General features: G+C 34.1%; 1 long non-coding RNA gene across 2 annotated transcripts in view, besides 1 other annotated feature; it reads left to right on the top strand.

The window, feature by feature from the left end:
* Positions 1–17,457, top strand: part of LOC107984536 (uncharacterized) — a 297,729-nt gene that overhangs the window by 48,858 nt on the left and 231,414 nt on the right. The gene's annotated exons all lie outside the window — the stretch shown is intronic.
* Positions 9,183–9,708: an enhancer, noted in NCBI's record as "H3K4me1 hESC enhancer chr12:84521790-84522315 (GRCh37/hg19 assembly coordinates)". NCBI's record gives its function as "activates a minimal SCP1, AML or CMV promoter by ChIP-STARR-seq in primed H9 embryonic stem cells {active_cell/tissue: H9 hESC(primed)}" and the evidence as "EXISTENCE:reporter gene assay evidence [ECO:0000049][PMID:30033119]".

Below are 17,457 nucleotides of genomic sequence, written 5' to 3'. Positions count from 1 at the left end.
TATATAAAGAACCCTCAAAATTCAATGATAAGAAAACAACGCAGAAAAAATGCTAAACATTTGAAGTCACTTAAAGGACAAAAGGAGGTATATGAATATACACAAGAAAAGATGTTTGATATCATTTGTCATTAGAAAAATGTCAACTCAAATTGCATGATACACCACTACACATCTATTTGAATAACTAAAATTAAAAATATTGAACTTAAATTTAATTGTGTATATAGAGGAATTTGAACTGCTGATTGAAATATTCACTTTTGCATATGGTTTGGCAGCTTCTTAAAAAGTTCAAACATGCAGTTACCATTTGACCCAGCCGTTGTATTCTTAGGTATTTACCCAATCAAAAGGAATACATATGTTCATACAAAGATCTGTAGACAATTGCTCATAGAAGATTTATTTGCAATAGCAAAAAGTAAAAGCAAGCTGTGTGCTCATCAATGGGTGAATCATCAGCAAACTATGATATAGTCATGCAATGGAATACTACTTGGCTATAATAAGGAATGATATATGCTACAATAAGATTTAATTTCAAAATAATTATGTTGAGTGAAAGAAGCCAGTCACAAAAGAGAGTACATTATCTGTTCAAACCTCCACAGACGCAAACGAATATTTACTGACAGAAAACAGATCAGTGTCTGCTAGGAAAGGGGAAGGGTGTGGCTGGTGAGATAAAGAGAGTGCAAGGGAAGCATTACTAAAGGGCTAAAGAAACTCTGGAGTTTTGCGTATGCTTTTTGTCTTGGTTGTACTAATCGCATTTCAGATGCACAGTCATACCAATATCCTCATCATCATTCTTTGGATACCTGATAATGATGACTCAGACAAGTGTTACCTCTTTAAAATGGCTAGAACATTTGAGCAGCTGATGACTTTCAAGAATATACACGGCTAAACATTTTATAGCTGAGGCTCCAAATGTAACGTATCTAAAAGTGTAATATATTAAATTATGTCATGAAAAAAATCTGTGGAAGGTGTCACAGGAGATGCATATGAGAAAAAAATTATCTTCAAAAAATCAGAATGAAATAATTATTGAAATTATTTTAAAACTTCAAAATCCAGTACTAAAAGAAATTAGTCATTTTTCTAATCAAATTTAAATTAGTTAAATTATTTTAATCCATTTAGAAGCTGCAAGCTAGACTGAATAGTTGTTTGTGTAAATAATAACAGTTGGGACATAATCTCTCAGAAAACAATTTCATTTTAGGTCACACTTATTGTAAATAACTAATTAATAAATTGAGGAAATATCTGATACTGAAAAAAATCTATAGAATAAGAAAGTGGAGAAAGGCTAGAAGGAACTGGCAGATGTGAAAAAAGAGATATAGCTTTATAGCATATTTATGACAACCTATTCTTTATCACATGTGTGCCATCTTTTTAAAATGTATTGTTATCCTCAAAAGCCTATATATGTCTAGCCTCTACAAATCTAGGTAGCTGTTGTAAACTGCTGTAGTTGATGGGTTTACATGAAACAACACTTTATTTACAGCAGGCAAATAGGTGGTTTTCATTTTCTTCAATTCATTTATTCTCATAGTAAGTTCACTGATATAACCATGCCTGAGGCATAATTTTCTTTTAGTGAGTATAAATATAAAATTGTCTAATCAGCTTTTTAAAAAGTATTCCTTTTACCAAACTGGAAAATAATGCCTATACATTTTAATACATATACTTATGCATGAAAAGCCCTTAAATCATGTGTATTTCTTTCTTCTATCTTACATTTAATACTAAACTCCAGACTATAGATGATAGTAAAATAATAGTACAAATGCAAGCACATATGTTAATATTCAGTCTTGCAAACCTTAAATGTTAAAGAATAGTCATTGAGATTTCATGACATGTGAGTTAATCTTAAACAGTTGGAATTGAGTTGTTACAGAGGAGAGAATACTAACTCAATATGGGCTACTAGGTGGTTTTAAATGGAATGTTTAAGTAATTCCAAAAATGCTTTACAATCTAAAATTAAAGCTTATGTTTGTCACACGTGCAATCTTTGAAAGGATTTCTGGACCTCCTGTGCCCAGAATTAAAGGATTAAGGACACTTAAAAATCATTTTATAAAATATAAAAATAAAAGTGGAGAATATTAATAGGATAAATCAGAAACTGGACTAGCAACTGAACTCTTCCTACTCACCTACAATGTCCTCACTGAATCATTGTAAAGTCGACTGGTCTATTAATTTATGTTTTTGTGGTTTTTTTTTGTGTGTGTGTGTAACAAACTGCATATGTACTCCTTGAATCTAAAATAAAAGTTCAAAAAGAATTATGTTTAAATAAGGAAATGTTGTGGTTTAAAAATTATGTAGCATAATATCAAACAAGTTTTTCTACTTTTAACACCTAATTTCCAGATATAAAAAACAAAAACTGTAGTGTATAAATTGCGGAATCAAGATTACTTTAAACGTCTGGATTTTCATAAAATTATTCAAGGACTTTCAAAAAATAGTGCCTATTTAGCCAATTCCAAAGGGTTAATTAAAATGCAAGTTTGCAAAAAGTATAACAGAAGAAAGGATGAGAGCTCTGTTTTATTTACACTTGGCATGATATCTTTCCATTATGCTATATTATGTAGTGTTTGCCTTGATATTCCTAGAGATGTGTATACAGGTTATTTCTATTAGTAATTTGAAGTATGACATAGAGGTTAAGCATATGCATTCTGACTCACACAGCCTGGGTTCAGTTCTTTTTGTTCCACATTCTATCTCTATGATGTTAAGTTAAATTAACCTAATACTTCCCACTTTCTCACATGAAAAAAAGGCAAAATAATGGTACTTACCCCATTGCTTAGTTTTTGATGATTAAATTATGTAATATAAGTAATGTCCTTGATATGCTTCATGAAACAATTTTAACATATAATAAATAATACTGTAGCTTAAATAATGTAAATAAAAAGAAAGACATAGTTTTTTCGGTAAATATCTTTATGTTTAGCTGGAGAAAAAAATAGTTGGGATAGAAATAGTTGCAAGTAGAATAAACAAACCAAATCCCATAAACTGGCTCAATAATAATATAGTAAAGTTGACATTGTTAGTGTACTATATTATAGACAGAGTACATGAAATGTCACACAGTGAAAAAAGTTATCAGGTACTTAACACACAAATAATTAATTAATTTTATATTGAACTAGTTGATAGGTCAACTCACAATTTTTCTTCTGCAGGTTTCCCCTCTGTCTTACTTGAGATCACCAATTATCACTCCCTGTCTGAGCTAAAAAAAATTTAAAAATAGCGTATATTTTACTTCTCTTTTTTCTTTTCATTTATATACATCATTTCTTCTTTCTTTCTTCCTCTGCACCTATAATGTCCAAGATATCAAGAAACGTGACCTAGATTGTTAATTCTTCCACAAAGATCACCAGAAAATATTTTTATCGAGTTGAGTTTTATTAAACTTATTGCAACGAGGAAGAATGCCATCTTAAAAGAATTTTCATAATGTCTCAGAAGTTAGGGAAAGAGATGTATAGAGTCTGGGGTCTAGGCTCAAGTGGGGTTAGGTGGCTTCTTCAGATGCTCCCTGATGTATGATGGGGTTACAATCAATAAATCCATTGTAAGTTGAAAATATTGTCAAAGCCAGTTACCATATTTTAAATTTATGATAGGTACATCCTCATGTAATTTGATTGTATATTAAGGAGCCTACTGAATATGTATTCCTTTTGCACCAGCATAAGGAAAAAAGATTGTAAGTAAATGCATCTTAAGTCAGGGGCCGACTGAATTGTGAAAGGGCAAAATGCACGTAGTAAGAAAGGTGTGACCTAAAGTGTAGAAATTTAACATGGTTATAATCCTTTATAAAATGAGGGATTGTGTGTGTGTGTGTCTGTGGTGTGCCTTGAACTTTTCTCCCTACCACCTCGCATTTAGCATATAGCACATATAACATATAGCATAGTGGAAAGATATTTATGCCAAGTGTAAATAAAACAGAACTCTCATCTTTTCTACTGTTATACTTTGCAAACTTGCATTTTAATTAATCATTCTAGAACTGGCTAAATATGCACTATTTTTTGAAAGTTCTTGAACTGGTTGAAATTGGGCAAAATTCATTTTATATTTTAAGATCAGGGGACTTCATGGGGCAATAATAAAGCAAGACGTTTGCCAACATAAGAAAGATGTTATCTAAATGGAAGAGGGGTTTGCCCACATTAGAAAACTGATCAAATACATTTGTTTGTAAGGATTTCCTGATGCAAAGAGGCAAATGGTTAAGGTAATTATTGGTTTAGAGCATTACTTTCCTTGTAATGAATTTCCTGGAATAAATGGTTAAGTCATGTTGATACAGGTGGTCTTAATTCTCAGTCAATTGTATCTCCTTCTTTGAAATCTTCCTTTTCTGCTCTCTAGTTATCATTTATATTATTTCTCCCTTTCATCTGGATGCTTAAAATTATTTTTACATATGGTTTTCTAACCTTCCATTAAAACTACCTTTATAGTATTTTCTCTAATTTGCTAGAAAAAAATTTTAAATGGCACCTTATTCTGCAATTTTCATAGTCAAATCTTGGAGTGTCTCCAGTTTTGAAGTTACCAACAAGGATAAAATCCAGGCTATGACAATAGTCCTCATTATTTGGCCTTGGTTTGTTTCTCCAATATCTTCCTTAGTCAAACATCTACATATAATTTTTGCCCTAGTCATACCAAACTTAGAACTTCCTCAAACTCCGTATTAATTTCAGGAAGCTCTGCTTTTTGGATATTGCTAGTTTTCCCTAAGATAATGACTATTTCCCCCAAGTGTTAACTACAAATCTTTCAATCCTGAATAACTGCTAATCTTTCATAATTAGCAGGTCTCTAAAACACATTTGACAGTAGTTACGAGATGCTGAGATATCCATAAATGCATTCTAAATTCTGGAGATGAAAGTGATAAAATCTATCCCTTACTTTCACTCCTCAAGTCTATATTGGTATGACATATTTAAATATTAATTTTGTATTAAAATAAACGGCAGAATGGGTGTTTCAATGTTACATAACACATCAACCTGTTCAAAAAATAAAAATAAAAATTTGCCCTGGAGAAAGGAAGTGCTAGCCTTTTTAATGGCTGCATAGTATTCAATGGTTTATAAGTACCATATTTTCTTTATTCAGTCTACCGCTGATGAACATTAGGTTCATTCCATGTTTTACTATTGTGAATAGTGCTGCAATGAACATATGGATGCATGTGTCTTTATGGTAGAACAATTTATATTACTTTGAGTACATATCCAAGAATGGGATTGCTGGGTCAAATGGTAGTTCTGTTTTACGTTCTTTGAGAAATTGACAAACTGCTTTCCACAGTGGCTGAACTAATTTACATTCCTACCAGCAGTGTATAAGCATTCCCTTTTCTCTGCAATCTTTCCAGCATCTGTTATTTTTTGACTTTTTAATAAAAGCCATTCTCACTTGTGTGAGATGGTATCTCAATGTCATTTCGATTTGCATTTCTCTAATGAGTGATACTGGCCATTTTTTCACATGCTTGTTGGCTGCATGTATGTTTTCTTTTGAAGAGTGTCTATGCATGTCCTCTGCCTACATTTTAATGGAGTTATTTGTTTTTTGCTTGTTGATACATAGATTGTGAACATTACTGACATTCTTATCTAGAGTCTCAGGAATTTTAAGTAGTTCCTTAATTATTGGTAGAATTGTGCTTATTTTTTAGTTGCACTACCTTTTCAGTAGGTCTTCAAAACCAAAACTGTAGAAGTTAATAATACTAATACTGCTAAAAATAACAATATATCTATTCTGAGGTGACACATAATTAACTTCTAAAGTAATAATATAGAGAATCAGTGCTATCAGTTCAGGAAAGGAAAACATTAAAAAAACACAAAATACAAAAACATCAGTGCACTGATAAAGGTATAGGTTTCTGTGATTTTTGAGTTGGATGAAATATCCCATCATACCTTTCAAATTAGTTAATGTTTGTTATTTATTTATGTATGAAACTTAAATGGAAAGTTAATTTAATTCTTTAATTGTAATAGAATGGAATGGGTATATCATTAAATCAGACTTAGTTAAAACTTATACCACAAATACAAAGATTTAGTACAGATAAAAAATTTGTACAACAATATTTAAAACAGGCTTTCACAAAAACAAACACCCCCATTCAGGGATTTTTACTTTTATCATAGGCCCAGACAGTAAACATAGTCCATATGTCTTCTGCTTCTCCACACTTGTTGCACACCAACCACTATTTGATATTTAAGAAGCACTTTTTATGATGAATGCGATGTGTGCATTAGTCTTCATTCATTTCTGAGAAATAGATTCCATTTCTCAAAGGTTTTTGCAAAGCTCACATCCTGTTAGGCATATGGAGAGAGTGACTCACAGAGTAACTGAAGTATATGAAAAAGTATTACCAAACACTGTGTCTCACTGGGGTCCAAATTTTTTTTCGAATCTAAACAGTACATATCAAACAGATGGAGTGTAAAAACAAATCTTTGCCATGGGTGGCCTTATCATTACAGTCAAAACAATCCACATATATGGATGAGAGATATGTATCCAATAACTCTTCTGTAACAACAAAAATGATATTCCAAGGATATTTCCCAAAATAATTGTCCAGTTTCTTTACGATGTCTCATTCATTTTCAAAATAATTTGATTTATGTACTATTATTATTTTTTGAAAACAAATGACTTACTAAAAAATCCAGCATTAGTCATATTATTAGAAACACACTGTCATCTGAGTATCCTAGAATAGGGGAATAGTTAAGAAATTTACATTTCATCAAACTGATAGATTCTTGTTCAGCCATCTATCATAATTATTCTATTAAAACCATGTAGAAAAATGCAAAAGTGTTTATCATGTAACATTTGGTGGAAATAAACAAATACACAGTTCTATGAATACTTTGATTATAACTGAAAAATGTGCATGGAATTGTATAAAGACTAGAATGCATTATAAAAAAATGAAAGAAAGTATGCTTTGTTGTTTGGAGCAATATAATCTTTTTTCTTCAAAAACAGTTTACGTTGCTATAGTCTTCTCTGTATTGTAATCAAAAGTGTAGTGAAATTTTATTTAGTAGATGACATCTGCTTGGAACTTTACATCAGCCTTATAAATAAAAAATTATGAGATCTCTATTTCCAATAACTGCTTTTTTGCCTGTTACAATGGGATTTCTTGAGGCATTAAATATTTTTCATTGTTTGTAACAATCAGTCTTTGTAAACCACTCTGATGAATGCTATTGCAATTTGCAAAAGGCATTTATTAGAAATAGCAGATCTCATAAATTTTTAATTATAAGGCTGATGTAAAGTTCCAAGCAGATGTCATGCACTATATTGTTGGCTTTGAAATGCATTACTTATTTGATGGCCTTCAAATGTGGCAATTTATTAATTTATTTAGTTAATGTTTGCAAAATCCTGTGATTGGCATTAGTTAGAATGTGCAATAATAACATCTTAAGCTTTTTTATAAATTTGGTATTGTACAGCATTAATAAATCAGGCCACACTTTTTTTGTTTTTCAAAAAGTGTGAAAGAAATAATACTTGGAGTGTTTATTTTTCTCATATAAAAGGAGTAGTATGTAATTAAGCCCAGTCGAGAATCCAAATTAGTGAACTTTTCATTCTAGCATGTTCATGCTTCCTCTTAAAAAATATTAAGTTACTGTGGTTGTCCCTATGACCTTTGGCACGTGGTGTTACTCCCATAGATATGTTATGTTACATCTCAAAGAGACTTTGAAAATGTAATTAAGATTACAATCTAATTAAGATTACATAAATTAGGGAGATTATTATGGATTATTCAATGTCTGTAATGTAATCACATAAGCCCTTAAAAGTGTCACAAGATCCTTCAGGTGTTGCTTCGCCAGCCAGAAACCTCTGTGGCCAGTGCACCTTCTGTCTGAGTATTGGTCGGCCTGCGTATTGCTCATGCCCCTGGGCTCATTATGCCCAGTCAGCCCTGCAGGCTACACCAGGGTCGTGCTACGGCCTGGATCCTACACCTGCCAAGTGTGAGCCAAGTGCAGAGTGGCAAGCCGCTCCAAACAGGTCACTGCTGCCATCAAAAGTATAGCTCTTTCTCTGACTAGTAGCAAAACTGAAATGAGAGATTAAAAGCATGAGAAAGACTCAACCCACAGACCCACCATTGCTGACTTGATGGTAAAGAGGACCACGTGGGGAACGCATAAGGGAACAGAAGCTGCATGCACCCACGTCTGGACAAGGAGAATGCAGTGGCGCCTGGAAGCTTGGAGACACCAGGAACCACAGAGCCTCAAAAAGGGTGTCACAGCCCTGGTTCAGGATGTCCCTAGGTCTGGGTTCCCCAAAGGGCCATAGCTCTTCTCTTCTTCTCGTCACTGCAGCTTGGTCGAGTGGAGGGGGTCAGTGAGGGGGGTGGGTTCAGACCTGTTTGTGTTACAGCTCTTTTAGTTTTGCCTTTCATCAAATCCGAGTTCTTGTTCCGTGTCCAGGAAGAATGAGGTACACAGAAAACTGGAGGGTGAGCAAGGTGGAGAGGAGCTTCACTGAGAGCCAGAAGAGTTCTCAGGAGACCCGGAGTGGGTAGATTCTATCAGCAGGCAGGTGGTCCCATCGTCTGCCAGTCTGTCTAAGTCTGGGGTTTTTATGGGCTTCAGAGGGGAAGAAGTGCCTGCTGATTGGTCCATGGGTGGCCATGGGCTGTCCCGGAAAAAGCCACAAGTTCTTACTCGGGGCAGTGGAACTGGCAGCTCAGTCTCCAAGCTTCTGACACTCACTAGCTTGAAGGTGGGGCTTAACTGGGGACACACCCCTTTCCACCCAGGAGCCTGTCTGCCTCCTGCTGCCATCAACCTACCCTCCATGGTGCCCATATTTCCCAGGCTGTTCCCGCTGAGGGGTGCCTGCAGGCCCATGCTGAGCTGCCCTCAGCCCCCACCTCAGCTCCCTCTCATGCTCATTGGTGTCCCAAATCCTAGAACGGGCCAAGGCGGCAGGGGGACTGGTGTGTCAGCGCTGGCTCGAGTGCGTGCACACCCAGTAGGATCGTGACAGCACTCGGGCTCAGCCTCAACTTTGCTCCAAAATCGGAGTGGGCACCGGGAGCCGGGAGAGGCCAGGCAGTAGGAGCAGGCACTTCAGAGCCTGCAGGGGAAGGGGGCTTCCCGGGCCCCCTAGCGCAGGCATGTCCAGGTCTGTAGCTGAGACTAGTTGGCTGCAGCTGGGAGGGCTGGCCTCCCGACCCTCCAATTCAGAAAAGGGCGGGGATCCCTCCTGTTCCTGGCTCCAGGTGGCTCTGTGGAGCCCCTGCGCGCCTCCCCCACTGCAACCTGCGTCATGGCAGCAGCTGCTCTAGATAGGCCACAGCTGCCATCAAAAGCATAGCGCTTTCTCTGGCTGGTAGCGAAGGAAAAAGAGATTAAAAGCACGAGAAAGACTCAACCCACTGACCCACCGTTGCTGGCTTGATGGTAAAGAGGACAATGTGGGGAAAGCATTCGAAGAAAATCACTTCTGCCAACAATCAGTGAGTTTGGAGGTGGACCCCGAGACTTAGCTGACAGCCCCAGCAGATATAATACGCTGATTCAAGTTTAATGAGACCCTGAGAAGAGAATCCAGTCAAGGTGCTTTAGACTTCAGACTTTCAGAAGTTCAGACCTTCAGAACTGTGAGATTATAAACAGGTATTGTTTTAAGATACTTATGTTTTGTAAATTGTGGTAATGGCAGCAATACAAACTAATATAATACTTGTCCTCTTGACCTTGCATAAGGTAAATGGAAAGGTGGGTAAAGTTTGACTTAACTGATTTCTACATTTCTTTTCTCTATGTTTCTGCCTCTTCTTGTTTCCTTTCTTTCTAAAGCCATCCCAGGACAACTATCTATGATAGACCTCTACCAAAGATAGCTTTTTCAAGATGAGTGCACCTGTTCCAAATCACGTCAAGCAAAATTTCCTTTTTCTTTAAGTCTGGCTGATACTAAAGATTCTCTAGGTTGGAATTGCTTCCTAAACGTCCCCACTGGCATTTCCATTTCAAATTTGTATACAAGAATAGACAGATGAAAAGTAATAAATCTGAAGTGGTGAAAATTCCATCATTCTGATAAACAGATGGAAAAGATACTATACGATGGGTGGATAATTTCCAATATGTCCTTAATTACTCAAAGTGTGGTTTATGGACCAGCAACATCAGCAGCATCTGGAAACATGTTAGAAATGCCAAATCCCAGTCTCTAGCTCAGAACAACTGAGTCAGAATCTTGTATTTTAATAAAATTTTCAGGTGCTGCATACACAATAAAGTTTAAAAAGTGCTGCTTAAATTCCATTATATGGGTGAACTATTTCTTTACAGTTTAGAATAATCGTGCTAAAAATGCCCTCTCACTTAAGCAAGGGCATGCATAGAATTATGATGTCTCCTAAGGTGCAATTTCAGAATCATTATTTATACTAAGGATTGGAATCCAGGCAGGCTGAGATCTAACTATTTGAATAACCAGTCAGCCACTATACCATGATTGCTTTTATAAAGCTTTAGTTTCTAAATTGTCAAACTATCACATGTATCAAAACCTAGAATTCTATCTCCCAATTACTATTCTGTATCATCTGAAGAACCAAACAAAAACATTTTTTTTTCAAATAGTTCCAGACCTTTTCCATATATTACTTATATATGAAGTATTTTTTTAAGATTTTATTGTTTCATATAAACAGCCCTGTTATCCTGCTTGAATGAACTTTTTGATGTTTTCACATTTCATCTGATTGAGAAGTCACACATATTCCATGAAACAATCTAAAATTTTAATTGAACCATTGAACCACTCATTACAGTAAGAAAATTTTGTTATATTTAAGATGATTGATCATCTGTATTAATCAATTTCATGTTCCAGATTTTTTTTTTTTTTGAGACAGAGTCTTGCTTTGTCACCCAAGCTGGAGTGCAATGGCATGATCTCAGCTGACTGCAACCTCCACCTCCCAGATTGAAGTGACGCTTCTGCTGCTTCTGCCTCAGCCTCCTGAGTAGCTGAGACTACAGGCACGCACCACCATGCTCGCCTAATTTTTGTATTTTTAGTAGAGAAAGGGTTTTGCTATGTTGGCCAGGCTGGTCTTGAACTCCTGACCTCAGGTGATCTGCCTGCCTCAGCCTCCCAAAGTGCTAGGATCCAGATATTTTTCTAAGAACTGCATATGCATGAAATCTGAGTTATTTCTGACACTGATGAGTTATAAACTATTATTGACCTTGTTTTACTGTTAGGTAAACTGAGGCTTAGAAAATTGAAATTATATTTTAAAGATAATAGTTCAGCTAGAAATGGAAGTCAGACCATTTATGTAACAGCACATATTCAATATTTGATAACAAAATGCTTTTAATCAAATAGAGGCTCCAACTCTTAAAACCTCAGTTAAAAAACAAACATTAAAGAAATTCTTATGGAACTTGAGGAAGTACTAATTATTTTATCAGATTAGGGTAAAATACTTTAAAAGATAAACAAAATAAATGGAAGGAATAAATTAAAATAAAAGGAGATATTAATAAACCTCACCTCAGAGGTTGATTATGAAGAAAAATAATTTAATGCATGTAAAATATTTAGAAAAGCATCTGAAAAAAATGTAAGCCTTAAATACATTGTCATAATTCTTGCTATTTCAATTATTATTACCACTGCACCAATCTCACTGTGTATGTACTATACCAATCTCATTAAATAGTAAATGTACAACATCCCTCCCTGTTACATAGTAGATATTCTAAATTTGATTTCTTTCTCCTCTCCTAAAAGAAAATTGTAATATTTCAAGATACACAATAAAGTTAGTGTTTAAAAATAAAATAAATCATATTACATTTAAATTTATTCCTTAATATTTATACTATTATAATTTTTATCTTTTAGTCACCTTTTTCATATATACATGTGATGTTTTAGTCAAAGAACAATTATAACTTATAAATAAGAGTACATATAATATCACTGATTATTGCTTGAATCTAATATGAACAAAGTAGAAGCTTTTTAAGATTTATTTTCAAAAATAATATTAAATGTTAAGAAATATTAATACACACAATTCTAAGATACTTGTAATGTCTTTTATCATAAGCATTCAATTCTTCCATGAAATGGAAAATCCAAAAATACAATCAACAGAATGAAATAACATATTAAGTTAATGTGAGTTTCTAAGTGATTTTGGTTTTGTGTGTAATGGCAAGAGAATGGAGAAAAAGGAAAGCTTTAGAGTATTGTAATTCAGCAGCCCTGTGGAAAATATTTATATGACAAAATGCAATATATTCACATCCAGATCCATCACAGATAACAATAGCTCCCTGAGAGAATGCTACTCTCTCTTTCATATTAATACCGAGGTAGCTCTTTTTTTCCCTGTCATTTTAAATCACTGAATGGAAACTTAATGGGTTTTTATTGCCTTTGCTGACTGAATAATACCAAAATTCATTTGTGTAGCTCAAAATTTAAGTAAATATTTAAAATTTAAAAGTGAGTTAATTTAATTAAAGGTAAAAATAGTATTGGGTGATATATGCATATTTAGAATATGCTATGCAATACTAAAACTTATAAAAATGCTAAATTTTGCCAGGGTTTTTTTTTTTTTTTTAGACGCAGTCTTGCTCTGTCACCCACCCAGGCTGGAGTGCAGTGGCGCAATCTTGGCTCACTGCAAGCTCCGCCTCCCGGGTTCACGCCATTCTCCTGCCTCAGCCTCCGGAGTAGCTGGGACTACAGGCGCCCGCCACCACGCCCGGCTAATTGTTTGTAATTTTAGTAGAGACGGGGTTTCACCGTGTTACCCAGGATAGTCTTGATCTCCTGACCTCGTGATCCTCCCGCCTCGGCCTCCTAAAGTGCTGGGATTACAGGCGTGAGTCACCACGCCCGGCCAACAGGGCTTATTTTTAAGTATATGAAACCATCCATTTTTGATGACTGAATGTGGATGAAGGGGGAATTTGAAAGTGTTTAGTGTTTCTATGGTTCCAGCAAAAAGATCTGGAAAAATCACCCTTAATTTTTTACAACCAAAATCCCTATTAAATACCATTCTAGTAATGAATATCAGCACAGTTTTAGAGAAATAAAAACACATTTAAATTACAAATGGACAATATGAGTCATTGTCAATTGAAAGGCATTTAAGCAACCCTCAGATAAACCAAATTCCAGTCAGTCTATTACATCTCCAACACTGTGCTAAACATTATAAACTAATTCTTGCCTGAAAATTATACAACATGAATATTAAAAGCAAGCATAAATTTAGGGAACATTTAGAAACAAATAATATAACACATTGTTTTGTAAAAAGTATAATGGCAAACTTGATCATCCAAAATATTATGCGGAAACTCAATTACCAAAACTGAGTTTAAAAATAGAAAGGAGAAAAGAGAGAGACAGAGAGAGACAGACAGACAGACAAATGGATAAATGCTTGGGCTGAAGTGACAGTGAGGAATTTGGAGCTAACTCAAAAACATCATTTAACTTTTGGGAACATTACCCCAAATTTCTTCTATACATGCCCTGTGGTAGACACACCAAAAACGTAAGGGGAAGCAGAATACCATTTGAATTCCACTGGAGAAGAAATCTATTCTAGAAATGAGAAACTAAATAATTAAGGGTCCCTACTGTAGAGAAAATACAAAACATGATAAAGAAGAATAGAGTCTGTTTTGATGGATAATTTAAGTAGGAAATTATTTCACTCAATAATACAGAACAGTATTGTAAAGGTCATTAAAAGCCATCGGGAGATTTTATGCAGTTGGCAAAGGACAAGCTTTCCGAATCTTGGGTAGAAAGTAACATAAGACAAGAAGTGCTTACCTCCTTTATTTCACTGTTTTTGATCCCTCAGGTCAACTCAGGAAGATTTTCCTCATTTTCCAAGTTATAGACCTAGAACTGTCAATGACCTACCTGTTAATTTTCTAAATATTGAGTTAGTCCAAATTATTTTTAAGATATTAATTATATACACAGTTAAATCACATTGCATATTTTATATGTTCCATGAGAGACCATACAGAAAATTATAATGACATGGTGAAAAATATATCTTACCATGAGAAATACACCGTGGTGGGGAATACATAATTCATATAATTAAAACATTATCTTTTTATTGTGGGCATTTTAATTAAACAAAAATTCAATATGTTACTGATCTTAATATTATGCTTCAAATTTATTTCTTGCCAAATAGTGGTATTTACAGTTATGTATTTTATAGTATTTGACCTTACTTATAACTATATTTAAGAACAAAAGCATATGAAAACTGGTGGGCTAATGTTAAATCCTGAAGGTAAAAAGCAGCCTTCACTTCTGGCTGGGTGATAGGATGCTGGCATGTATATGGCAGCTTACCTACTGGGTTGAACCAATGCCCTTTAGGCATTTCCTGTGGAGAAAAATTGATTTACCCCCCTTTATAAATAATTCCTGGTATTTTCTAGGCTAAGAAATTGATGACACCTAATTTAAGTTTTATTTTGTGTATTTTCTCCATGGTTTCATAACATTTCAAAAGAAAAATAAATATTTTAAGCAGAAAAGGAAAATTGTTTACATAAATGAGTTTGGCTAATTTCCTTTGTTTCCAAATCAAACCAATAAGCTATTTCTTTTACAAATGATTAAAATGAATTTAATCTAGCTCTCTAATTTTTACAATGGCTTAAAAATGAATTAATTCTATGATATAGGCCCTGCTTATAGTTTAAAAATCATCTTTAAAATAAGCAACGTGGATGCTTTCTCAAGTGTAAAAGAACATATGTAGAGGGAGGCTAGCATGAGTGAAAGAACATGGATGGTTGACATATACCAGTTATATCAAATGATTTGCCTCTTTCAGTTCTAATAGCATCCCACACTTAAATCAATTCTAGAAAAACATTAATTCAAGATTGACTTTCTCCCAAGCCTAAAACTGAAATGGTTTATAAAGAAAACATTGGATAAATTGATGAGTAGTTGAAAAAGATAAACTAATCTTAAATAATAAGGTCAAAATAAATCAATAACGAATGGAAAAAAGGCCCAAAATAATATTTATAATGTATTTTGGTATTTTTTGGTGGACCACTGTAGTTAACAAAAAGGGAGGCTGAATTTAGATAGCTTTGGAATTTTCTTTTTTTTTATTATTATACTTTAAGTTCTAGGGTACATGTACACATCGTGCAGGTTTGGTATATATGTATACATGTGCCATGTTGGTGTGCTGCACCCATTAACTCGTCATTTACATTGGGTATATCTCCTAATGCTTTCCCTCCCCACTCCCCCCACCCCACAACAGGCCCCAGTGTGTGATGTTCCCCTTCCTGTGTCCAAGTGCTCTCATTGTTCAATTCCCACCTATAAGTGAGAGCATGCAGTGTCTGGTTTTTTGTTCTTGCGATAGTTTGCTGAGAGTGATGGTTTCCAGCTTCATCCATGTCCCTACAAAGGACATGAACTCATCCTTTTTTATGGCTGCATCGTATTCCATGGTGTGTATGTGCCACATTTTCTTAATCCAGTCTATCATTGATAGACATTTGGGTTGGTTCCAAGTCTTTGCTATTGTGAATAGTGCCGCAATAAACATATGTGTGCACGTGCCTTTATAGCAGCATGATTTATAATTGTTTGGGTATATACCCAGTAATAGGATGGCTGGGTCAAATGGTATTTCTAGTTCTAGATCCTTGAGGAATCGCCACACCGTCTTCCACAGTGGTTGGACTAGTTTAAAACTTTATGACAGCAAAAGTGCACAGATACTGAGTTTGGACATTTGTATTAGTATTTCCATTTAAAAATGTGATTTATTATGCTCCTTTTGATAGTGCAAGTAAAAAAGTAATGAAATTCATACAAAATGGCTGTTTTATCTTTAAGACTACTATTCTAAAACTTTAAATATAATTAAATAAATTATAACTTTTTGTAAAAATACATTAACTAAAAGACAGTAGCCTACATTAATTTTTTCAATGTGTTTTAATATTGTATACATATTTCCATTATGGAAGTAGGTGATTCTGGAGATCATAGTTTGATAACTCTGACCATTAAATCATCGAAAATAATCCCTACATCCCAATTTCATGTTGATTAAAATCTACATCTGAATGTAAGTTTTCTTCCCTTGTAGTTACTTTCTTATGAAACGGAGATTGTCAATTCAGTAAGTGATATGATATTCAGTTCACCTAAAATTTCTTGGCGAAAATCAACAACTCGACACACTTTTATATAACCGTCTGACTTCCATTGAAATGTAACAATAGTGAAGTCCTATTAATAAACATAGAGTTTGCTGCCGTCATTGAAAACACTTATCTTTTATTAAAATAGTAGGCAATTTTTCTTGTGCATTTTTTTCAAATTTGTAGTGTAATGCTTATAATAATTAATGTAATTTTCCCACTTGTCTTTCTTTATATAAACTAAATTTTAGGTTAGCAATACACTAAAAATTCTGGGTCAATAATACATTAATCAAAAAATGATCTTTTAAAATTCTCTAACATTTATAATCAATAACATTTATTGAGCACTTATACTAGACACTAGTCTGGATTTTGATGATAAAGCTGTAAACTGAAAAGGAAAACACTGTGATCTCATGAAACTTAAATTTTATTAGAGGAATATTGACAATAAACCATAAGTTTTAAAAACACATCTAGAATATATTAATAATTATATGTGTGCATAAACACAAGCATATGTACATATCAAACATGTCTGCACAACAAATATGCCAATTGATAATAAAACAAAAAGTAATTCAGGAAAATGGATATAGATTAATGATTATGATGCCTTGGACATGCGTGATATTTGTAAAGTTACAATTCTATGTACACATTCTGGCAGATTGTGACTAGGTTTTCTAATGGATAAGATAAGGTTTATAAGAAAAAAGGGGTATTAAGGATTACACTCAGTGTTTTGATCTGAAAAATTGGTAAAATGAAATGAGCATTTACTCAGGCAGGCAAATCTGCAAATAGAGCAGGGAGAGAAAAAAACCATGCTGTTAATTTTGGATCTGTTAAGTTTGAGATATTAATTAGATATGCAAGTAAAGATGAAGAGTAGGCAATGGTCATAGGCCTGATGTTTGTGGGAAAAGTAAGGAACAGTGGTAAAATGTGTAAGTTGTGAAAATATAAATGACATCTAAAGCCATGAGACTAAATTAAATTGCCTAATATGTAAGGATAACAAAAGAAAAGAAGAAAATTTTGAGGACTATGTCCTTGAATATTCAAGTGTTTAGAGATCTAA

This window comes from Homo sapiens, chromosome 12 (assembly GCF_000001405.40).
Source record: "Homo sapiens chromosome 12, GRCh38.p14 Primary Assembly".
NCBI classification, from domain to species: Eukaryota; Metazoa; Chordata; class Mammalia; order Primates; family Hominidae; genus Homo; species Homo sapiens.
Note: the sequence above shows the minus strand (reverse complement) of the source record. Positions and strands in the feature narration are given on the sequence as shown.